Source organism: Homo sapiens, chromosome 12 (genome assembly GCF_000001405.40).
Source record: "Homo sapiens chromosome 12, GRCh38.p14 Primary Assembly".
NCBI lineage: Eukaryota > Metazoa > Chordata > Mammalia > Primates > Hominidae > Homo > Homo sapiens.
This window is the reverse complement of record NC_000012.12, coordinates 131,022,301-131,046,455: the sequence shown is the minus strand read 5'-3', so window position 1 is coordinate 131,046,455 and position 24,155 is coordinate 131,022,301. Positions and strand designations below refer to the sequence as shown.

The 24,155-nt window shown below is 55.6% G+C and overlaps 1 protein-coding gene across 16 annotated transcripts in view, besides 1 other annotated feature; it reads right to left on the bottom strand.

Moving 5' to 3' along the window:
* ADGRD1 (adhesion G protein-coupled receptor D1) overlaps positions 1–24,155 on the bottom strand; it is a 187,563-nt gene that overhangs the window by 95,014 nt on the left and 68,394 nt on the right. The window lies entirely within an intron of this gene.
* Positions 17,621–18,122: an enhancer, noted in NCBI's record as "H3K4me1 hESC enhancer chr12:131512879-131513380 (GRCh37/hg19 assembly coordinates)". NCBI's record gives its function as "activates a minimal SCP1, AML or CMV promoter by ChIP-STARR-seq in naive H9 embryonic stem cells {active_cell/tissue: H9 hESC(naive)}" and the evidence as "EXISTENCE:reporter gene assay evidence [ECO:0000049][PMID:30033119]".

Genomic DNA, 24,155 nt, shown 5'->3' with positions numbered 1-24,155 from the left:
CTGACCAGGGAGAGAGGACACTGACCAGGGAGGGAGCGCTGACCAGGGAGGACCCTGACCAGGGAGGACACTGACCAGGGAGGAGCACTGACCAGGGAGGACACTGACCAGGGAGGGAGCACTGACCAGGGAGGACACTGACCAGGGAGGGAGCACTGACCAGGGAGGGAGCATTGACCAGGGAGGGAGCACTGACCAGGAGGACACTGACCAGGGAGGAGCACTGACCAGGGAGGACACTGACCAGGGAGGGAGCACTGACCAGGGAGGGAGCATTGACCAGGAAGGACACTGACCAGGGAGGACACCGAGCAGAGAGGGAGCACTGACCAGGGAGGACACTGACCTGGGAGGGAGCATTGACCAGGGAGGACGCTGACCGGGAAGGACACTGACCTGGGAGAAGTGCTGACCAGGGAGGACACTGACCAGGGAGGACACTCACCAGGGAGGACACTGAGCAAGGAGGGAGCACTCCCCAGGGAGGACACTGACCAGGGAGGGAGCACCAACCAGGGCGGGAGCACCACCAGGAAGGATATGGACAAGGCAGGGAGCACTGACCAGGAAGGATATGGACAAGGCAGGGAGCACTGACCAGGACGGGCGCTATCACCTTGGTCACATCTCAGCCTGTGCCCGCCCTGAGGACCGCAGGGCAGCTCCCTCGCTGGCCGCCTGGTGCCGGCAGCTGTGGTGCTTTGTCCCCCAAGGAGAAAGCATGATCTTCGGAATGAGACTCAACTCTAATCCCAACTCCGCTGTGGATTTGGGCAGCATGGTGACTTCCCTGAGCCTCAGTTTCCCCAACTGTAAATCCCCACATCCCTCTCAGCTGTTGTAAGAAGGAACCCGGTGGGCATGGGCGTGATCCAGGTACAGCCGTGTGCTGAGCGAGGCTGGCCTGTGGGCCGGATGTGCCCGGGCAGGGAGGCGGGGGTGGGGGGGGGTCCCTGTACAGCACTGCCCTGCCGCAGCTCCCGGGCGTGCGCTGACAGAGGCTGCCCCGCTCTTCTCCTCCTGGAGCCCCTTGTGAACAGAGTTTCAGGATCCTCCTGTCGCCCTCCCTGCCTGGGGCTGATGCCCAGAGACCAACATGATGGCACCAGGTTTCGGGAGAAGACGAGATCCCTGCCTCCCGAACACTGTCCCGCCTACGGCGTCCACATGAAGCAGTGCTGGACGGAGGGCTCAGCCCACATGACGGCCGCGACCTGGAGACCCACAGGTCCTGCGGGCTGCCCTGGGGACTGGGGGACGAGGGCCAGGCTCATCCACGCTCTCCCGGATTTCGGCATGCCCAATGCGCCCGCGGGTGGTGTGGGAGGCGTGTGCCTGCCTGGAGGCCCCCTGGACAGCAGCCATTCGCATTCGGATCCGCTCCTGGCGCTGCAACACCACTGCGTGGCACACGCCGCAGAAACCCACCGGCACGCGCACCACGGCCTGCGGAGAAGGCGCTCCCGAGCACCACGCACGAGGAACAAGAGGGCGAAGCCTGAACATCGGTAACAGAGCGGCCCCGCAGGGACCAGCCACACGAACCGCGGCGCAGCCACGCGGTGGAATACGGCGCGAGGCGGGCGTGCTCTTCGGGTTTCGGTTTCATTTTTGTCCTTTAATGAAGTAGCTCTGTGTGCTGGAAGGAAGTCTCCCAGAGCGCCGCTGCGGCTCAGAACCACACTGGCAGCGTGATGCCGTCGTGTGTGTGTAAAAAGAAACTCGCACACCCAGAGCTTTCCAATGGGTGCAAATCTAAACACGAGGGGAAATCTGGAAGGACAGCCGTGGGAGGGAGGGCAGCGGGGTTCTCAGGGGAGGGGAAGATAAACCAGGCCTGGGAATCGTGGTGAAAAGGACACTGCCAGCATTTGGAATGTTTCAGGTTCTTAATGGAGATGTAATTATGTTTACAGAATTACAAATAAATATTTTCAGAGGGCCACTTTTAAAAGAAAAAGGGTGCAGAGCCAGTCCTCTGAGACCAGGAGCTGCGAGTCTCTTGTGACCCCACCCAGGACCGGTCCCCTCAGCCCCCTGTGCTTCTGCCTCTCCTGTCAAGGGGGGAACTCGTGGGTGGACGGGTTCCTGGGAGCCGGACAGCAACACGCGCGGACCCAGCTCTGCAGACACAGCGTGGCCTCCTCGGCCCCGATGCTTTTGTGCACACAGGACACAAGGGCACCCATGTGAGGACGGCCGCTTCATCCTTCTAACAAGACTCAGCGATCATTAAATGGTCCTAACACCACTTCCCACATAGCTAGGACTTCACAGCTGCCAGTGAGAAAGCGATGCTTTATCAGAACCTGTTCTAAGTCCCCACAGAGGTGTGTAGAGATTCAGTTCACTCTATGGAAACCCAATTAGAACCTCTATTTCTTGTTGATGGAGTTCCTACACGGTGTGAGGCCTGAAGTTAACACCCAGTCTTCCCTGCTGTCTTGACGCCTGGTAGAACCAGGGAACCTCTAGTGGCCCGGCCAAATGCTTCCCTCCCAACTCTGCTCCTCAGAATAAGGTCCCCAAAAGACCCCCCTCCTCATGGGGAACAGGTGCACTTCCCACTCATCCCAGGGTGGTGGGTTTCAGTCCCACCCACCTGCAGAATTATCCAAGAAGCCACTCACATCCTCCCGAGGGAACCAGGGCGCCCCGCCCTCCAGTCACTATGCCCTCCGGTCACTACGAGCCTGCTCCCCAGCCGCACGAGCCCGTTCCCCAGCCCTGCGGGTGCACTCTGCCCCACGTGCATCCCCGTGTGGCCCTGTGTGCGTGCGCAGGGCCCTCCATCCCGGGACCCGAGCTTTGGCGTCTTCCTCTGTCCAGTGCTGGGCACCCCATGGCCCTCAGGCAGCACTGCCTCCCTCACCAAAGGGTGTAGAGAAGGAGAGCCAGCCTCCTGCCCACACGCAGCCTGCAGGGGAGAGGCCTGCATGGTGTCTGCAAGGACAAAGCCGTGCGTTCCACACGCCCACAGCCAAGTCATGTTTTGCCAGGGCAGTGAGCGTGGCTGCTGGAGGAGCCCAGAGCTGGTATGCACCCAAAGGGATGGTTTTCACCCCTGTCAGTCCAGGGGCCCAAAGATGCGGTTCCTACTCCCGTTTCCAGTGCTTAGTGGCAGGTCTGGACTCACAGGACCTCCACAAGTCTCAGTTTCCTCATCTGCAGAAAGGTAGTAAGGCCTCTCCCCAGCTCTTCACCAGAGCTGTGGGAGGAAGCAATGAACCCGGACAGGAGGCCATCTGAGAAAATGCACGGCATGCTCAGCCCCGGGCCGGGCTGCTCCAGGGTGCACAGGACCCTGGCCTGTCTCGCTCCCAACCCCACCCTGCACTTTGCTCTTTGCTCAGCTTTGGGTTGATGTACTTGAGGCCTGCAGGCTCCCAGCTGAAAGCAGGGGCAACAACTCACCTGCCCACAGGGGCCAGGCTGGGCCCTGCCCAGGAGGGCACAGGTTGGCAGGGCCGCAGGGCGGGGAGGGCCGCAGCCTCGCATGGGCAGACACTCAGCTGCGGACAATCCGACAGTTACCACTGGGGAATGCGCCCAGCTGTGCCCGCAGGCCCTAGTGCAGATTTCATGTGAAATCAACCAATTCGTAACTGTTGCCAGCTAAATCAAATTATTCTGCTGGCCTAAAGCCATCAATTTCAAACTCTGGCTCGAATGCTGCTCCCACACGCTCAGGAGGAACAGCCTTTGTGTTGCAGACGCCATGCCGGGGTTGGAGGTCGGCGTCCCCCTCCTGGCTCACCTGGGCTGCGACAGACAGAGCCGCAGCGCCTGTGACCCCACCGGGACCGAACACGGAGCTGGGAGAAGCCAGCAGCAAGGCTGCTACCTGGTGGGAGTTTCCTTTAGAAACCAAACATCTGAGCTGGGAGAGTGACGAGTCCTCAAGGTTTTCAAGTGGAGGACGTATAGACATGAAGTCAGGAGCGGTGTCTGCTGGATTTTCTTTAACTCACATGTAATTTCTTATGTCTACTTCATTCATTCATTCAACAAATATTTACTGTGTACCATGAGGCTGTTTCTGGAACATTCCTCTTGGCTCATCAGTGTCGGGGCAGCAAGAACGCGGCTCAGGGGGCTGGGGGTAGCGCTGGGCAGGCTCCGGAACCTGAGGCTCACTGGGGAGTGGGAGGCTTGTCGGGATGATGCCAACCAAGGGCTCTGGGAGGTCCAGGATGTGGCCCCATGGAAGGGCTGGGTTTGGCCTGTTCAGCACTTAAGCTGTTTTGAATCACTTGCTAACATTTTAAAAATTGGGACAGTTCATAACTTTACCAAAAAAATCTGGATCATCAGTTCTGTAAAAAAATATCCCTGTGGGCAAGTGGCAGCTGGGGCGCAGTGGCCCCCTTTCCTCACCTGCTGGGCAACTGCCCCGTGCAGGGGCCTGGGGCGCAGCCGATAATAAAATGTCCAAGGACACATGGTGCCTTCTCCTCGGGGACTCGGATAACAAACCCGACTGCGAAGGAACCCTAGGTCATCGGCGCCTTCTCCTCGCAGGGGGACTCGGATAACAAACCCGACTGCAAAGGAACCCTAGGTCATGTCAATGTCAGCAGTGGCATCTAGAAAAATAACCCAGGAAAGGAGGACCGTGGGGAGGGAATGTGACGTGGGCAAAGACCCCAGAAGAGGGAGAATGTGCTTCCCAGGCGGGTGCAGGCAGAGGCGCCAGGCAGGGGGAGGCTGCGGCAACAGCGTGCAGTGTGTTCCCCGGGAACTGCTCCCTGATTCATGCATGACATGTCCACTCTGGCACCTGGTGTCCCTGAGTGGATGGCCAAGCCCCTGGGTCTCTGCAGAGCCTCATTAAGCTGCACACCTTCCTCTCCAGCTATAACTGGATGTTTGCTTTCCTGTTTCTTTGATTCTGAATACATGCTGTCCTGGCCACCACAGTCTCCGTCTCCCTGCGGAGGTCACAAAGTGGTCTCGGTCTCGGTCTCCCTGCCAAGGTCACTAGTTATACCCTCAAGGGTGGGGTGGGAGGCAAAAGCCGCTTCAGGTGGCTGGGTCAGCTCCCCATCGAGGCTTTCCACTGGACAGGGAAAGGGCGGACCTCTGCCCTGTCCACACCTGCTCTTCTTCTCCCCAGACAACTTCCTCCTTCCAGGGCTGGTATCCTCTGCAGCTCCTTTGCACCCACATCCCCCACCCACACCCTCCGGCTCCACAAGATCATCCAAGAACCAGGCCCTGGAGGATCCTTCTGGGTGCCTCCCCACATTCTCTGCGCCAGTGGCCAGCACCAAGACCCCCGATTTTCTGTGCTCAGTGAAGTCCCTGCTACCCTTTCCTGGTAAGAGCATCGAAACATTCACCCCAGGACAAGTGAGGGCATCAGAGAAATGGTGGCATCATCACCACAGGTCACAACTCAGATGTCCCCAGGGACCATCCAGGTGGGGATGATGGCAAACTCCGGGGGGGCCACCATTCAGCCCCACTGTCCTGCCACACAGCAGGTCAGACCTGCACCGCGAGAAGTTCAGGTTTCAGGAAGAAGCTAGCAATTCTGATGCTAAGGTAAGAATCGTCTGATGTAAATATTGGCCACTGTCTTGAAACTGAAACAGTGTTTGGGTCACCTGCAGGCTGAGTGGTGCAAAGACCACTGCCCGGCAGGCTCCGGTCCAAGAGCGAGCAAGCCTGCCGTTTCCCAAATGACTGTCGCATGCGATCTGGCAGCCAGCAGCCCCTGAGGCTGGCACACACAAGGTTGTTCTATCCCTGTCTTACAGATAACAAGGCAGCTCTGGAGGGCGGGTGGTTTACCCCAAAATCACAGTTCACCTAGGTGTGCACCTGGGGCTGTTTCTGAGCTGCCCGGCCCAGGCCTCTATTAGTTCCCTGCCCTGGCTCAAGGGGCAGGCTGCCCACGGTGGTGCTCACAGGACGATCCTAGGTCCCTGCAAGTATGAGAAGCGTGTGAGTATTTTGTTTAATAGTTAAGTATATAATGCATTTTTAAAAGGGTGTACCAAACACATGATTTTATGGAGATTACTGCTTAAGACTTTGCCCTTAAGAAATAATATACATTTACTTTAATGTATAAACATATGTAACCACACATCAAAACCATGATTCACCCTGTGTTCTTTTTAATAAGAGAATGTCAGCTCCTTCTGAATAAGGAGAAGAAGGGGAGGATGAAGAGCAGGAGGGAGAGGAGGAAGCCACTGACTTCTCCGCACCAGTTGCACGTCTGGTTGACAAAACACCTCAAATCCCTGTCCTGTTAATGACAAACCCCATTCATCTCCTCCAGACTCCTGGGAAAAAGCATCAGAGATACAATAAAGCGGCCCCTGGGAGCAGGAGCCAGTTCATGGGTCTCAAACTCAGGCTCCTACAGGGGCCGGGAAGGTCATGCCTGAGGGTGCCGCTGGTGGGGTGGGGCTCTGGAAACAGAGCAGCCAGGTCCCTCTGTGGCCCTTGGTGTCTGTTTTGTTCATAAAACAGGGACAGAATGATCCTATCTGCGCCGGCCTCAGGGACCGCCGGCAGGGCCACCAGCACAGCTGGCCGGCAGCACCTTCTCAGATCCTCTATTTGCCAAGGGAACATAGAACTCCAGGTTTTTATGTGGCATCTCCCAGCTTTGAAATGTCTGCAAGTAATTCATTATTTTAAAGCAGAAAGCCCTGTTTGGGCCCAGCTGAGTCTGGGCCCTTTCCCAGCGTGAGCCTGGGCTTAGCGGCAGGGGCGTGGACCAGCCACCCTCCTCCAGGGAGTGCCACCCCAGCCAAGGCGCCCCAGGGTTGGGTTCGGGTGGGTGCGCCCCATGTTTGAAACGGCAAAGCACTCAGAGAGGAAAGCCTTCAACAAACAAGTGACCCCCTCAGAGTCCACACAGCCAGCCTCCAGGACCAGATGTTCAGAGCTGTCCCTTGTCAGAGCTCCCTGCAGGGAACAGGACTCATTTGTCTTTGAACAATCTTTCCATCTCAGGCACGGCCATCGTGAACTCTGTGTGACTTTTTCACAACTTTCTGAATAATGACCGAAGATGGTCTAGACCGGGAAATCTATTTTTATGGAAACCCTCCTCTCAGGCTGAGCTGGCTTTTCCCCCATTTCCCCGGCGTTGAAAGGGTCACCCCGTGAGGGTCCTGGTGGGACTGGGGGCTGAGCTGGAGCCTGCAGGGGCCAGGAGCACAGGGCTCTCCGCACCGTCCCGGCTCAGCGGGCAGTGGCTGGAGGAGCACAGGGCTCTCCGCACCGTCCCGGCTCAGTGGGCAGTGGCTGGAGGAGCACAGGACTCTCCGCACCGTCCCGGCTCAGCGGGCAGTGGCCTGGAGGAGCACAGGCTCCATGCGTTCCTGCTCCGCACACAGCTCGGGGCCTTCGACAGAGGACTAGACTCAGCAGTTTCCTGGCCTCTCCCGCAGGCAGTTCCCTCTGAGCTTGGCCTGGAGAGGCTCTGGGGAGATGACCATAGGCTTCCTCCTCCCTAGGGGGACAGCCTTGCTCCCTCCTCCACTCGAGGCCGTAACCACCCTGCTCCATCTGCCCCAGGTGTCGGCCTGCGACCTAGTCTTTTCCCTTTTATGTTTTGCAATTATTTAAAAATCAGAAGTTTCAGGCAAACAGTTCTTCTGGGAAAATCAGCAGGTTGGGGGACAGGACGGGTCTAGGGGACCCATCACATCAGGTTTGCTTCTGACCCTGATGTCAAAGGTCAGCCTACCTGTCACTGCCGTCCCCCTCACCTGCACCCCGGCTGTGCTCTCGTGGCAGAGTCAGAGGCAGGTTGCCCCTCCATCACCTCTGCCTCCAGCCATGAGGAAACAGCCCGTGCTGATGAGTGTCCACCTACCCCACACTGTGGGCCACTCCAGTGGCTGAGCCCCAGGGGCATTTCCACTTGCCATGTCTGCCCCCCGACTGTAGTATCGGCCCCTCTGTTGTCTGGCCCCAGTCACAGAGAAGAAAGATGCTCTCAGCTGGATGGGCCTGGGTGGGAATAAGCAGGGCTCGTTCCCTTGTGGGAGGAGTGTCGGCTCTGCGATACCAAACCAGAGTGGATGCCTAACAACCCGGAGGTGGCAGGCAGGCGAGATGCAGGTTTGAAGGTTGAGAGGAATTCTAACACATGGCTGCCCTGCGCCATCTGCCACCTGCCCTGGCTCAGCGCACAGGCCCTCCCGGCACTGTGGAGACACTGGGCTATGTGGATGGGGGAAGTCCAGGGCTTCCAGACTGCTGGGTCATCTGAACCCCTCCACAGGGGCCTGGTGATGGTCCCCACACGTCTCAACAGTTAGAGCAAAAATCAGCAGAAAGGGGCCAAACCCCCAAATGATGCAGTGAGTGAGACCCAGTGTAGTGAGTAAGACCCAGTGCAGTGAGAACTGGTGTAGTGAGTGAGACCCGGTGCAGTGAGTGAGGCCTGGTGTAGTGAGTGAGGCTCCATGCAGTGAGTGAGACCCCAGTGCAGTGAGTAAGACCCAGTGCAGTGAGTGGGGCCCGGTGCAGTGAGTGAGGCCCCATGCAGTGAGTAAGATCCTGGTGCAGTGAGACCCGGTGTGGTGAGTGAGGCTCAGTGCGGTGAGTAAGATCCTGGTGCAGTGAGTGAGACCCGGTGCAGTGAGTGAGGCCCCATGCAGTGAGTAAGATCCTGGTGCAGTGAGTGAGACCCGGTGCAGTGAGTGCGGCCCCATGCAGTAAGATCCTGGTGCAGTGAGTGAGACCCAGTGCAGTGACTGAGACCTGGTGTAGTGAGTGAGACCCAGTGCAATGAGTAAGACCCAGTGCAGTGAGTGAGACCCGGTGCAGTGAGTGAGGCCCCATGCAGTGAGTAAGATCCTGGTGCAGTGAGTGAGACCCGGTGCAGTGAGTGCGGCCCCATGCAGTAAGATCCTGGTGCAGTGAGTGAGACCCAGTGCAGTGACTGAGACCTGGTGTAGTGAGTGAGACCCAGTGCAATGAGTAAGACCCAGTGCAGTGAGTGAGGCCCGGTGCAGTGAGTGAGGCCCCATGCAGTGAGTAAGATCCTGGTGCAGTGAGACCCAGTGCAGTGACTGAGACCTGGTGTAGTGAGTGAGACCCCAGTGCAGTGAGTAAGACCCAGTGCAGTGAGTGAGGCCCGGTGCAGTGAGTGAGGCCCCATGCAGTGAGTAAGATCCTGGTGCAGTGAGTGAGACCCAGTGCAGTGACTGAGACCTGGTGTAGTGAGTGAGGCTCAGTGCAGTGAGTGAGACCCAGTGCAGTGAGTGAGACCTGGTGTAGTGAGTGAGGCCCCATGCAGTAAGGCCTGGGACAGTGAGTGAGGCCCGGTGCCGTGAGTGAGGCCCGGTGCAGTGAGTGAGGCCCGGTGCCGTGAGTGAGGCCCAGTGCAGTGAGTGAGACCCGGTGCAGTGAGTGAGACCCGGTGCAGTGAGTGAGGCCCCATGCAGTGAGTAAGATCCTGGTGCAGTGAGTGAGACCCGGTGCAGTGAGTGAGGCTCCATGCAGTGAGTAAGATTCTGTTGCTGTGAGTGAGACCCAGTGCAGTGACTGAGACCTGGTGTAGTGAGTGAGGCTCAGTGCAGTGAGTAAGACCCAGTGCAGTGAGTGAAACCTGGTGTAGTGAGTGAGGCCCCATGCAGTAAGGCCTGGGGCAGTGAGTGAGACCCGGGGCAGTGAGTGAGACCCAGTGCCGTGAGTGAGGCCCGGTGCAGTGAGTGAGGCCCGGTGCAGTGAGTGAGGCCCCATGCAGTGAGTGAGGCCCGGTGCGGTGAGTGAGGCCCGGTGCAGTGAGTGAGGCCCGGTGTACTGAGTGAGGCCCCGTGCAGTGAGTGAGGCCCCGTGCAGTGAGTGAGGCCTGGTGCGGTGAGTGAGGCCCGGTGCAGTGAGTGAGACCTGGTGTAGTGAGTGAGGCCCCATGCAGTGAGTGAGGCCCAGTGTAGCAAGTGAGGCCTGGTGCAGTGAGTGAGGCCCGGTGCAGTGAGTGAGACCTGGTGTAGTGAGTGAGGCCCCATGCAGTGAGTAAGGCCTGGGGCAGTGAGTGAGACCTGGAGCAGTAAGACCTGATGCAATAAGACCCTGGTGCAGTGAGTAAGACCCAGTGCAGTGAGTGAGGCCCCATGCAGTGAGTAAGGCCTGGGGCAGTGAGTGAGACCTAGTGCAGTAAGACCCGGTGCAGTGAGTGAGGCCCAGTGCAGTGAGTGAGACCCAGTGCAGTGAGTGAGACTCACTGCAGTGAGTAAGGCCTGATGCAGTAAGACCCGGTGCAGTGGTTAAGACCCCGCCTCCCGTGAATGAGACCCCCTCCAGTGAGTACAACCCCCTCCAGTGAGTAAGACTCGCTGCAAGGCTGAACCCTGCTGTCCCCATGCCTCTCCAGGGGCCTGATATAAAGGGGCCAGGAACAGGAGCAGCCTCACCAAAGTTAATTTCTTTTTATTTTTAAACCCAAATAAGCTTTGTTGTTTTTAAAGCAGGTAAACAAAAAGGAGACCAGGAGAACCTTAGTAGTGGTATAATGTGACTCGGTTTTGGCTTGGGTGTGAATCAATCTCCAAGCAATCATCTTGCCTTTTATAGATATAGTGAAAATAATTAACTAGGAGAATAACATTTTTATCTACATTATAATTTCCACTTATAAAACGTTCATGTCTGTGTGCATAAGGCATAACAGGTCTATATCTAGGAAAATGGATCCATTTTTCTCCTTTTGATTTGGCTCCTATTAACATTGTTATAATACAGTTTCTTCGATAAATAATAACAACATCATACTATGTCAGTGATTGACTGCTGCCCTGTTTCTATTTTCAAACAGACAACCAGACATCATGTGTGGGGGCAGCTGCTAACACCCCATCATCAGTTAAGCACAGAGAAGCTGTGTCTCGGCTCAGTGGATTTCCTTCTTGAGGCATAAAATGCAGAGGCGGTCTGAAGGTGCAGACTGCAGTCTCAATTTATTCTACGTAGAAAACAGACGCTACTGAAGTCGCACTTGCAGTCAGAACTCCGGGCCCCTCGGGGCGTGACTGCCCAGCTGTGTCACCCGGAGCAGCTCATGCTGCTTCTAAGCTCAGCTTCCTTGTTGGCAAAGGGCCCTACTGTGTGGCACACGCCGTGCACGTCAGGACAAGCACAACGCATGGCGCACACCACCTGCTGGGAGAGGCAATTGTGCACTCTACAGCCACAGGGACAGGACACAGCGCGGTGAGCCCACCCGGTCCAGGAGCGCTGGGAAAGGGCCCCAGGAGAGGCAGCAGAGCTGAGACAGGACGACGACCAGGAGCGACCAGGAAGGGGAGGAGGAGAGTGCTCTGGGCAGAGGGGACAGCGTGTACAAAGGCCCGGAGGTGAGGGCACGGACAGAGGAGGAGAGAGGTTCAAGATGAGGCTGGGCTGACCACACAGGGCTGTGAGTCACAGGTCAGGGTCTGTCTTCACTCTGAGTGACAGGGGCCCAGAAGACTCCACAGCAGAGGAGGGAGTGACCAGATTTGCTTCTTTAAAAGGCACTCGTCCTGCTGTGGAGGGGAGGGCTGAAGGGGGCGGAGGAGCAGCTGTAGGCGTGGGGCACCAGTGAGGAGGTCCTGCAGGCCCCAGGCAAGAGCGGCCCTGTGTTCAGGTGGAGGCTAAGGAGCGGGAGCCGGTGCAGTGACATTTCCAAGGTGACGTGACCAGGTTGGTGAAGGAGAGAGCCTCAGGTAGAGCCACCTTCTCCAGAGCTGGGGGACACATGGCAAGCCCACCCTGCCCAGCGAGGGGCCACCACCGTGTCCTAGCCTCAGTCATTCAACAAACATGTTTATGGAGACCCTGTCATATGCCAGGTTCTGTTCTAGACTCAGGAAATAGCAATAAACATGACAGCCTCTCTCTTCCCCAACTCCCTCTCTCTCCTGCTCTTCTCTCTCTCTGTCCCTCTCTCTGCCTCCCTCCCTTCCTTCCTCCACCCCATGGAGTTTACTTTCTAGTGAAGGAGACAAAGAAGAAAGAATAAGCAAACACACAAGTAAGACAGTGCCGCCTTCCAGGAAAGAAAAGGAGCCAGCTGATGTGGCGAGTGGCTGGCGAGGCTGGGCTGGGCAGTGGAGGACAGTCAGGTCGGCAGTGGCGACTCTGGGAAGGTGTCAACCATGCGGGGACCCGGGGGAAGAGCATTCCATTCAAAAGGACAGGCGTGCAAAGGCCCTGGGGTGGGAATGCACTTGATGTGGCGCAGAGCAAGGCAGACGCATGGCGGGAGCGGAGTGGAATGGGCGGGGAGTGGCCCAGAGTGCGGCAGGGTGGGCAGGGGAAGAAGGGCGTGTAGATCTTACTTGAAATGCAGAGGAAGCCCCGAGAGGGTTCGAGCACAGGGTGACACCACCTGACGGCCACGTCGAATATTACTCTGGCTGCTGTGTGCAGCTGGGGGCGGCTGGGAGGCTGGCGCTGGCCTCCGGGGTAGACAGTGAAACCAGGGGCAAGGCTGGTGATGGTGACGATGGGTACCGGTGGAAATCGGACGTGAGCTGCAGGTGGAGCCGGCATCCCCCGGGGAGGACTGGCAGAGGGTGGAGCTCTGTCCTGCCAGGAGTGCCGTGAAAATGCACAGACGCTCACACCTAGATCCTGCAGATACCACGTGTCCCCAGCCTTCACCCACGCGGCTCAGGGAAGCTGCTTCCCCCTAGCAGACGCAGCAGCCGTGGAAATGACCACAGAGGACACACGGCTGTGCAGCCCTGGTTGGGCACCTGCTCCAGGGACCTGGCAACCACCACATCCCGTGCCCCTGCAAGCCCCTGTGGCCACCCAGGCCCACGGCCTGCCCCTCCAGGGCCGGCTCCAGTCCACTCCACCGGGACCCAGGCCTGTCAGCCAAGGCAAGAGGGACACACACTCCCGTCTTCACTGAGAACCTGCCTGGCTGCCTCCGTCACTGCACACCTGCGCAACCCAGCCCAGCAGAGGACAAGAATTCCCTGCGTTCAGGGGGCTCCGAAAAGACATAAGGAACCCAACCCTGCATGCCACGCTCTGAGCGGGAAGGAAGGCCGCATGTGGACGCCTGTCCTGCTCACTGTGCCTCCAGGGCTCTGACGGTGCTGAGCACAGATGTGGTGCTTGGGCAGTGCTTGTGGGGTGCATGATGGAAGGGCACCCTGGCCCCAGCAATGACCAGCTCTAGAAACCCCTCCGGCCTGGAAGTCCTTCCTTCCCACCCCACCCCAGCCCCTGCCACACAAAAACAAGACAATCCCATCTGGACACAGCTACAGGGGACCCACCCAACGGCCCTGCCCGCACAAAAAAAGAGCTCGGGCAGGGCCAGCCTGGTCTGCACACGGAGGGTGGGCATGCAGGAGACCCAGGGCACTGCCTGGCACGAGCCATGAATGTCCTGGAGGGCAGGGCGGGGCTCGTCGCGCGCCATTTAGCTCGGGAGGAGAGGAAGCTGCAAATGAAGTGGTCTCTGTGACGGGGTGGCGATTTCTCTAATAAGCGTCACCTCTGTGACGGGGTGGCGATTTCTCTAATAAGCGTCACCTCTGTGACGGGGTGGCGATTTCTCTAATAAGCGTCACCTCTGTGACGGGGTGGCGATTTCTCTAATAAGCGTCACCTCTGTGACGGGGTGGCGATTTCTCTAATAAGCGTCACCTCTGTGACGGGGTGGCGATTTCTCTAATAAGCGTCACCTCTGTGACGGGGTGGCGATTTCTCTAATAAGCGTCACCTCTGTGACGGGGTGGCGATTTCTCTAATAAACGTCATCTCTGTGATGGGGTGGCGATTTCTCTAATAAATGTCATCTCTGTGACGGGGTGGTGATTTCTCTAATAAGCATAATCGTCACTGCCCCACCATAGGGAGAGGAAGCAGAGGGGCCCTGGAGGAAGCACAGTGAGCAACCACGTGGAGCTGCAGAGCCCTCTCCGCTCACTGCTGTCCTAAGAGGGCAGCCGAGAGTTCGTGTGCAGGTGCTGGCACCCGGGCCTGCAGCAAGAACACTCGGGGAAAAGGCCACACAGCGGTGGGGGACGTGTCAGCGGAGGCATCGCATGTACTTCCAGGGTACCAAAGTGAGTTGTGAAACCTCCTACTACGCTGAATTTTCAAAGCAGGCGTCAGAACCCGTGAGATGATTCGTGCTCGTGGAGGATCTAGGCGGGGTCGCGAGTGGCACAATAAGCTGTGGACCTGTGAGACTGTCTTTGAATAGAGCTGTTTTGTGAGCTCTGCCTCCACCGCCAGGGTGGAGAGGGAACGTCTGCCGCCTACTGAATGCCTGTGTAGCCTAGGAGAGGGCTTCAGTAGAGCCTGGGGGAGCCCTGTGTGCCCCTTGCGGGGGACAGGGTTGGAGCTGGTGCCTGACACTTGGAGAAGGACATTTGGGCTGTGTCTCAGGGCTAAGGGCTGCATTTTGGAAAGCAATGTCACCCCCTCTATCTGTGGGGCACAGCGGCAGGAACCCCAGAGCCAAGGGTGGAGGCTGCGATAGGAGAGAAGTCAGGCTGGTTCATCTGAAGGCCTCCCTTCCGGGGCAGCAGTTCACCAAACAGACACAAATGGCTCCCCAGCTTCCCACAGGGAAGGCAGGTAGGCACCTGGCATGTGCGGGGACGAGGCAATGACACCTCTCAGGGTTTCCGAGTGTTGGCAGAAGTGACCCGGATGTTTGGTATGCAGAGCTGGCCCCTGGGGAGAAGCCAAGTCACTTCCTGAGGTTTTGGGGAGACAAGGTGTTGACACCCAGGCCCAACCCTGGGGGCACAAGAATCAAAGACACAGAGATCCATGGAGGTGGCCCTGGGGGTCCAGTACAATGGGATGGTGGAGAGGGGCCCCAGAACTCCTGCAGCCTCAAGGGGAGGGGCAGGTGGGTGACCTGGTTTAAGACCAGGCCTGAAGGAAGGGTGGGGGGGCCGTGTTTGCTAATCCTGGAACCTTGGGAAAACCACCGACAAACGCAAATCTGAGAAGCTGTGAGCAATGGGTGACTCGTCGACAGAACCGCATGGGTGAGGGACTGCATTTATGTCTCAAGCTGTGTAAATGGTCATCCCAGCAACAGGTCAGAACTCACCCCATTCCAGTCATGCCCCACAGTCTCCCCGAATTCTCCTGCACCTGGGCTCAGACCTGCAAGAGGCTAAGCCAGGCCTAAAGGGATGAAGGCCACCGTCCAGTGTTTGAGCCGCACCAGGGCAGCACGCAGTACCCAAGGCTGCCCCAGACGTGAGTGGGCTCCGCTGTCAGAGCCCCCAACAAATGACATGGCGCAGGAAGGGAGGGTGGGAGGCAGGGAGCAGCTTCGACAGGACCCCCCAAGGCAGCAGAGCTTCCGGCAGTGGAGCTCAGAGTTGAGACCGCCCAGCCCCTGGCTCCCCGGGGCCCAGTGTGGTGAGTTGGGATGAGGTGTTGCCCTTCCTGCGTTCCGGGCTCCCATGTGGCCTGTTCAGAAACCCTGGTGAAAAGAGCGGCCCTCGGTGGGGGCCCTGGCTGTGGGCGAGTGCTCCTCTGGAAGGAGACTCCGACACACTGCACATTGTGACAGAGGTGGCTGTAACCAAGGCGACCCCAGAACAACAGGCTGCAGATGCGGCTCAGTGTCTCTCCTACACAATAGCTGACCTGTGCTCTGCACACCCCGGCGTATTCAAAGCGATGAGCCCTCAGCCGCGGGTTAAAGTACTGGTGTCTTCTGTTCTTTACAGTCTCAGTGTGCCACATTGAGGTGTCACGCGCCACACTCCATGGCATCCACGCTACAGATGCCAAAGGCCACGGGAAAGCGAGTTCGCCATTCTGCTGAGGTGGGCAGGCTACTATTCCCCGGGACGTGGCTGACACCCCTCACCTGCCCCGATGTGCAGCTGAAGAGACCCCTCGTCCGGCCTTGGCCTCAGGGGAGGGACGATGTCCAGCAAGCTTCTGTCTGACCCTGTGTCTGCCACATCAACTGGAGCAGAGACAACTGGATACAGAAAATCCCATTCACCAAGGTGGGTGCCCTCAGGAGGAAGGGCCTGCGCACGCTGCAACGTTGGGGATGCATTCTGAGATCTAGCTGCATTCTCGGAGATAGAGCCACTGCCCCAACAATTTCAGCGGCACAGTCTGGAAGGGCTCCCCACAGATTCTTAATTTACCCTCTGCAGCTGACAAAACACAATCCCCACCCTCCACCAGAGGGGTCCACAACCTAACCCCAGAGCCTGGGAATGTCACCTACGACGGGTCCACAACCTAACCCCAGAGCCTGGGAATGTCACCTACGACGGGTCCACAACCTAACCCCAGAGCCTGGGAATGTCACCATACGACGGGTCCACAACCTAACCCCAGAGCCTGGGAATGTCACCGTATGAAGGGTCCACAACCTAACCCCAGAGCCTGGGAATGTCACCTACGACGGGTCCACAACCTAACCCCAGAGCCTGGAAATGTCACCATAAGAGGGGTCCACATCCTAACCCCAGAGCCTGGGAATGTTACCATAAGAGGGGTCCACAACCTAACCCCAGAGCCTGGGAATGTCACTGAACGAGGGGTCCACAACCTAACCCCAGAGCCTGGGAATGTCACCGAACGAGGGGTCCACAACCTAATCCCAGAGCCTGGGAATGTCACCGAACGAGGGGTCCGCAACCTAATCCCAGAGCCTGGGAATGTCACCGTTAAGAGGGGTCCACAACCTAACCCCAGAGCCTGGGAATGTCACCGAACAAGGGGTCCACAACCTAACCCCAGAGCCTGGGAATGTCACCGAACGAGGGGTCCACAACCTAATCCCAGAGCCTGGGAATGTCACCATACGAGGGGTCCATAACCTAACCCCAGAGCCTGGGAATGTCACCTACGACGGGTCCACAACCTAACCCCAGAGCCTGGGAATGTCACCACATGAGGGGTCCACAACCTAACCCCAGAGCCTGGGAATGTCACCGAACGAGGGGTCCACAACCTAATCCCAGAGCCTGGGAATGTCACCGTACGAGAGTCCCACAACCTAACCCCAGAGCCTGGGAATGTCACTTTACATGGCAAAAGGGACCTTTCTGATGTGGGTAAATTAAACGTCTGGAGGTGGGAGGTGATCCTGGATTAGCCACATGTATCCAGTGTGATCCCAAGGATCTTGACAGAGGGAGGCAGGAGCAGAGGAGGGGGAGGCACAGAGGCTGGGGTCAGGGGAACGGATTCGCACTGCAGGTTCAAGTGTTCATCCGCACTGACTATAATAGTCAATATAAAAATAAGCCTGGTAGATTACAGCAGCAGGCAATGAGTTAACGTTGGAACTACATCGAGAGCTCTCAGAAGTCACTAACAAAACAAACACTCCACTGGAGAAATCAGGAAAGAAGGTGGTTACAACATAAAGAAAAATGCAGATGGCCAGTTCACTTAGGAAGCCTCACCAATAACCAAAGCTACGCAGCTATGAATGACAACCAGGTGTGACTTCCTGTGCATCAGAGTCTGCAATGGCGTGGGAGAGGCGGCACTGCCGAGCCCCACCCATGGCTGGATAAATGGTTACGACCTTTCTGAAGGGCAGTTTCACGACGCGCATCAAATTTTTAAATGCGTCTCACCAAAAATAGCCGAGGCCGCCTGGAATAACAAGCTGGAGGGTTTACACGAGCCGGTCTCAGGCCTTGGCATAGGACGTGGCAGTTGCAATCGTACCGGCATGCAAATGGGATGACGGACAGAGCAGAGTCCAGAAACAGCCACGTCGCCCCTCCCGTGACTGACGGCAAAGGCGGCACCACAGCACTAGGGGAGAGGTTGGTCTTCCCACACGTGGAGCTGGGTAAATTACATATCCGTCTGGGGACAGTGGTCAGTCTCAACCCCTACTGCACTGCAGACACAGAAACAAGCAGAGAAGGACCACAGGCCCAAACACGAAAGTGAAAACAACAAATGTTCCAGGTAACACAGGAAACTACTTTCATGGCCTCGGGTTAGGCAGGATTCCTCCACCAAGACATAAAAGCACTGAATACAGAAGAGCTTGATAAACCGGACTGCACTGACGTTGAAAACTGCTGTCCACCAGCAGACACCATCGAAGTCAAAAGGGAAGACCCCGTGTAAGAGATATTTGCAATACGTATATCAAACAAATGACTCATACTCAAAATACACAAAAACTCCTTAAAAAATCAGTAAGAAAGAAAAGCAAACAGCACAACAGAAAAATGAGCAGAAGTCTTGAGTAGATTTTTTTAAAAGGATATTGATATCCAATAAACATAAAAAGGTCACCAACATCATTCAAGAAAAGCAAATAAAAAACAGAATGAGACAACATTAGCCACCAGAATGGCGGACCTGGAAAAGACGGGCCACACCCAATGCTGGACACTGGGCTTCTCACGCTCTGCCAAGGGGAGAGTGAACCAGTGCCCGCTCTGGAGAAGGCACCGGGCACCAGCTGTTCATGCTGAACATGCCCCTCGACCCAGCGACGCCATCCTGGGCAGATCCCACAAAGAAGGGCACAGTCAGGTTCACCAGCAGAAACGCGCTCACTAGAACATCCGGCAGCTCTGTTCTGCTGGCGTCTGGAAAAGGCATTCCATGGTGCTGGCCGTGTGCTGCTTCTTGACCTGAGGGGTGATTTCTTGGGTATGTTCGCTTTGTAAAAACTGTCATACCATACACACATATACGTGCTTTTCTGCAGGCATGTTATACTCCAATAACACGTTTGCTTTTAAAACATGGCTGGCAGGGGGATGCAGGGTGATGAGAAGTTTGGTCTGAGTAACCCTGAACCCCTAGCTCTAATTTGTTTCTCTGTGACTCTACAATTCTACCTGCTCCCCTCAGTAAATAAACACAGATCTGGATTAAACATCCAAAATAAATTTTAAAATGAGAAAAAAATGTGTAGACATTTAACAGAGCAATTCTACCTCTGAGAATTCATCCTACAGAGATAACCCAGCAAGAACACAGAAGATTCATTACAGCATTGTGAGAATGCAAACCCGAAGCCAGACGCACACCAGCAGGATGACAAACGTAGACTATTAAGCAGCCGTGAGAATGATGATACAGTCTGAGCTACTGGCACGGAAATATAGACATGGTAAATTTAAAAACTGAAGCTGCGAAACGGCACGGATAGCAGAACCCCATTTATATAAAATTGTGTGCACACACACACACACCTAGAGAAGCCCCGAAAGAAGTCACCACAATGTTGACACTGGTCATCTCTGAGGGATGGGATTTCAAACGATGTTTGGCTATGTGTGTGTGCATGTGTGTGCGTGTGTGTGTGTTATTTAAACAGCCTGCAGAGTAGGAATATCCTGGATCTACAGTGCACCAAGGAATGACCATGGGAAGAAAATGAACCTTGCTTCATTCACAATCAACCGTTTTTCCCTCATTCACAGCAAATCCTAGAGAAATAACAGCTGTGTGCCACAATCCCTACGAGAAAGTACCTGCCTCCAAGAGAAGCCACCCGCCTGCTTTCATCTCCCTCAAATATGGTTCTGAATCTGAGAAGCACAGGAAAGTGACTGTGTGTAATAGTCCGCAACTGGAAACAGCCAAATTATGGTTACAAGGACGAGTCAGCGGTGGCCTATTCATATAATGGAATATGGAATAGTGACGAGTAGCATCCAGCCGTGAACACTGCAATATCCCCTGGGAGACTCTCACCTGGGAGTCTCCCGGGTATATTGGCGATGCCTAGAGACGTATCTAGTTGTCAAACCTGGGGAGGGGCTGCTGGCATCAAGTGGGTAGAGGCCAGGGATGCTGCTCCACACCCTCCCTGCAATGCCCAGGCCAGCCCCACAGCCACAGTGCCCCAACACCAATGCATCTCAACACAGCAGAACCAGTTCCCTTGGAAGATTAAGCCCCAGAAACACAAGCCAACTTCAAAAGGCCAAAGTCTGGATTCCACTCTATGCCTGGGAACCTCCTCTGTTCCGGGGTGACATGGACGCTGGAGCTCCACACGGTCAGAAAGCGCTCCGGAGCTCGGCTCCACGCGGTCAGGAAGTGCTCTGGAGCTCACTCCCTTCCAATGCCCTGAGAGATCGGACAGACGATTGCTGACGTCAGTGGCAAAGGGCTGACGTCAGTGGCAAAGGACTCCCGCCCCCCCGCAGACATTAAAATGAGCCCTTTGGGAGAATAAGGGATTCCATCCAGCTCAGAAGGGCAGGAGTAATGAGGCCACCCAGCCCTCTGGAGGGCACCGGGAAAGGCTGGAAGCAGGGTCTGTGCCCTGAGACACAGTCCACTGAGACACAGTCCATGGCCCAGCCACACCCGCGGCTGCCCCGTTTGTCTGTAGAGTGCAGGCTCCCCAGCAGGGGAGAAGCACAGATGACACCTCACTGACCATTCCCACTTGCCCTCTGCAGCCTGAGGGCCCAGACACACTGATGGCACTGGCGCAATTGACATGAACCGGGCACAGTGACACAGTCACGTGTCCCAGGACCTCCGTGGGCTTCCGTGGTGCAGCCCTGGGGCATGTGGAGTGCCCAGCCTCACCCCCAGGCTTTACCAGGTGCCCCCTCAGAGCCTCCAGGATGGGCCTGCAACTCTGTCCCTCACACCCTGGGGAGCTTGCACCCCATTCTGTGCCAGCAAAAGAAGGTATCTCAGGCCAGGCACAGTGGCCCACGCCTGTAATCCCAGCACTTTGGGAGACGGAGGTGGATGGATCACTTGAGGCCAGGAGTTCGAGACCAGCCTGAACAACACGGTGAAACCCTGTCACTACTAAAATTACAAAAATTAGCAGGGAGCATGCCCGTAATCCCAGCTACTCAGGAGGCTGAGGCAGGAGAATTGCTTGAACCCAGGAGGTAGAAGTTGCAGTGAGCCGAGATCGTGCCATTGCACTCCAGCCCGGATGACAGAGCAAGACTCTGTATCAAAAAAAAAAAAAAAGAAAAGAAGGCATCTCAGCCTCGGGCCTCAAGACCTCAGCCCATGTTGGGAGAAAATTCCTGCAGCCTCCATGTCACGGTTCCCTGACAACGATGTGGGGGACAAATGTGTGACTCTCTTCTGAGTTCACCTCCTCCTCACGGCCCGTGACAGAGTGCCGCCAGGGGAAATCTTCCCATCAGACAAATCACTTTAACTTAGAAGAGCAGGCCCCCGCAACATCCTCAGAAATATAAAAGCAACCTTCAAAAGAAAAACCCCAAAACCCTAGAGAACGCTTGGCTAAGACAAGCCTTAATTACCATCCTCTTTCGGTATGATAAAAATTCCTCTCCACCTCTCTTCAAGACAGGATTCCTTATTCAAACACTTTCTTTTTTTAAAAATAACTGCAGTAACCAACCATTAAAACGGGGACTGCATTTTAATCCACGCTTTCTTTTTCTCTGGTTTTCAAACTGGCACCTTTCATACTTCACAGAAGACACAAACATGGCCTTCTACAAAACTTCCATCCACGGCATCAAGCCCCACAGGGCCTGTAATTCACTGGAGCCGGGAGGTGAGAAGTGCCTGCAGAGACGGTTCCCCCAGGCCACCATGCCGTCCCTGCCCTCGGGCCACAGCCAGCAGGCCTCAGGACCAGTGAGAAAATGGCCCGGAGAGCCCTGCCCGAGCTTCTCACACAGACACGCCTGCTGCATTGCTCCCTTCCCATTGCTCCCTTCTCGTGTCTGGGAGGCCTGAATGGTGCCTCAAGGAAAAGGAGTACAGTCTTGCATCACTTAATGACAAGGACACATTGTGAAAATGCATCATTAGGCGATTTCATCGTGCTGTGAACATCACAGAGGGGACTTACACAAAGCTAGACGACGCAGTCCACCACACACCTGGCTGTATGGAGTAGCCTATTGCTCCTAGGCTACAAACTGTGCCCACTACTGTACTGAATGCTGCCAGCGGCTGTAACACAATGGGAAGGATCTGTGCATTGAAATACATCAAAACATAGATGAGGTACAGGGAAAATCTGGTCTTACAGTCTGATGGGACCACTGTGGTATACGCAATCTATCACTGACCGGAACATGACTGAAATGTTTCCAAAACACACAGGATGCTCGGTTGGGTCTGCTGCAGCACCAGCCACACTGGAAACCCTGGTGGCTTTAGGGACCACTAGAAGCCACGCTCGACCTCCCCTCTGCCAGGAAAGCCAGCACACTGAGGAGCTAGCCATCAGGCACCAGCACCAGGCTCCAGCCCTCCATGTGGGCCTCTCTGACCCTGACGTCACAGAGAACCCCAGTGACCCGGCCAGCGGGGCTGCCTGCACCTGCTTCCTGCACAACTCCCCCCAGGCCGCTCTGCCGGGGGCAGGAAAGCACTGTCCCTCAGGGGTGGCTAATTCTAGGCTTTGCCTCTCCCAAAACCATTACTCGGATCATCCAGATGCTAACCCCAGATACATCATTCATCTCTCAGATCCGTTCTGTCTTCATCTGTGGTCGACAGCTCATCAGGTTGAATCTTCAGAAATGACTTAAATCCACACACCAGGGTCAGGAGCAGAAGGCGGCTAGCTGGGGACCATTCTGAGTTGTCTATTTGCAGAGACTGGTCATTTTCTCCCTGCTGTTTGTCACTTCATTGCCCCTCAACACTGCCCGAGGGTCAACATAAGGGGAAGAAGAAGGTCCATCTGCAGGTAAATAGAAACTTTCTGGGTTTCCAGAACAGAGGCTGGACCGCCCACTGCAGGAATATGCAGGTTCACAGGGTCATTTGCTGCAACAAGTTATTTATACAAAATATGGGTAACAACTTAAATGCCCATGAGTAGGAGATGAGCTGAATAAGCCGGCGATGGTTCAGTAAACCCACACAGTGGGGCTCTGCGCAGCTGAGAAGCTGGAAGGCCTCTGCGGATGGGTTTGGAGTGACTTCCAGGATAAACTGAGTACCAAAGAGTTTCTATGGTATACCACCCTTCACAGGAGACAGAAGGGGCTATTTAAAAAGTACATGTATCTGTTCATTTGGCACAAAAGAGATACAAAACACACACACACACGAATGGGACCGGCTTACCTGGGGAAGTGGGTGGGAACAGGGTGCAGGGAATGGAGGATGGAGACAGAGCGGGGGTGCGCCGTGGCTCGGAGGAAGCCTTCAGAACCACACGATGGTTCACATACCCCTCAAATACATCAACACTGAAAATCAACCAACCTGTGGGGGACCCAGAAGAGAGTACCAGTGACAGCAGATGAACTTGACTGTGTTCTAAGTGACACTACAGGAAGGGAGGCAGAAGAAAGGAGCCAGCTATGGAACGCAGAGAAATGGTATCTTAACTACATGGTGTAAGGCTAAAAGCAGAGAGGGTGGGAACAAACACTGTCCCCTCATCAGGACATACGTTTCCCACAAGGGTGTGGGTTAGCAATTCTGAACCTGTGTGTGCAGCACATTTATACAAATAAAATTATTGAGAATAATGAGAGACAGGTTTCCTACTTTGGGAGAAAGAAGAACATACAAGGAAAGGCTAAATGAATCCCACAGTCTTAGACCAGAAACAGGTATCAGAATGCAATCCTAGTTTGCAACACAGACACACATACAGACACACAGAAAAATGCAGGAAGATGCAGGTGCATGCGTGTGCTTCTGAGAGCACACACACACAGATTTCCCGGCTCTGTCCACCGAGAGAGGACTGAGAACAGTGACGCTCCAGCAGAAATGAGCACGCCTGTCCCTAATCCTGCTTTCTAAACGCCATTCTCCAACCAAAGGCACCAGGGCTCCTTAGGGAAAGAGCCGATTCCATGAGCCCAGCATATCTTTAATGCCTGAATGTAAGGAGGGACTCAGAAAATGAGGGAGGCATCAAAGGAGGCAGAAACCAACTGGACAGAGCTCCCGACGGTCACGGCCGCGACAACGGGAGCAACAGAATCCGTAATGATAGAGCCGGACAGCGCCCTGTGGGATGAAATAGTACCCCTGAGTCATAGCAACACCAGCAACTGAATAAATAAATCACGGTTTGTACTTATCACAGAATTCCAATTAATAAATGCAGAAGGAATGGTGGAAATAGAAAGTCATCATTAGGCAAACATTACAGTCAAAATTTTTGCAGGCAAGAGCAATCAAAATGTAGAAATTCATGAAGGAAGATGAGCTGAAGGAAGGTTGTGTAGTTTCACGGTATCTCCCCACCACCAAGATAT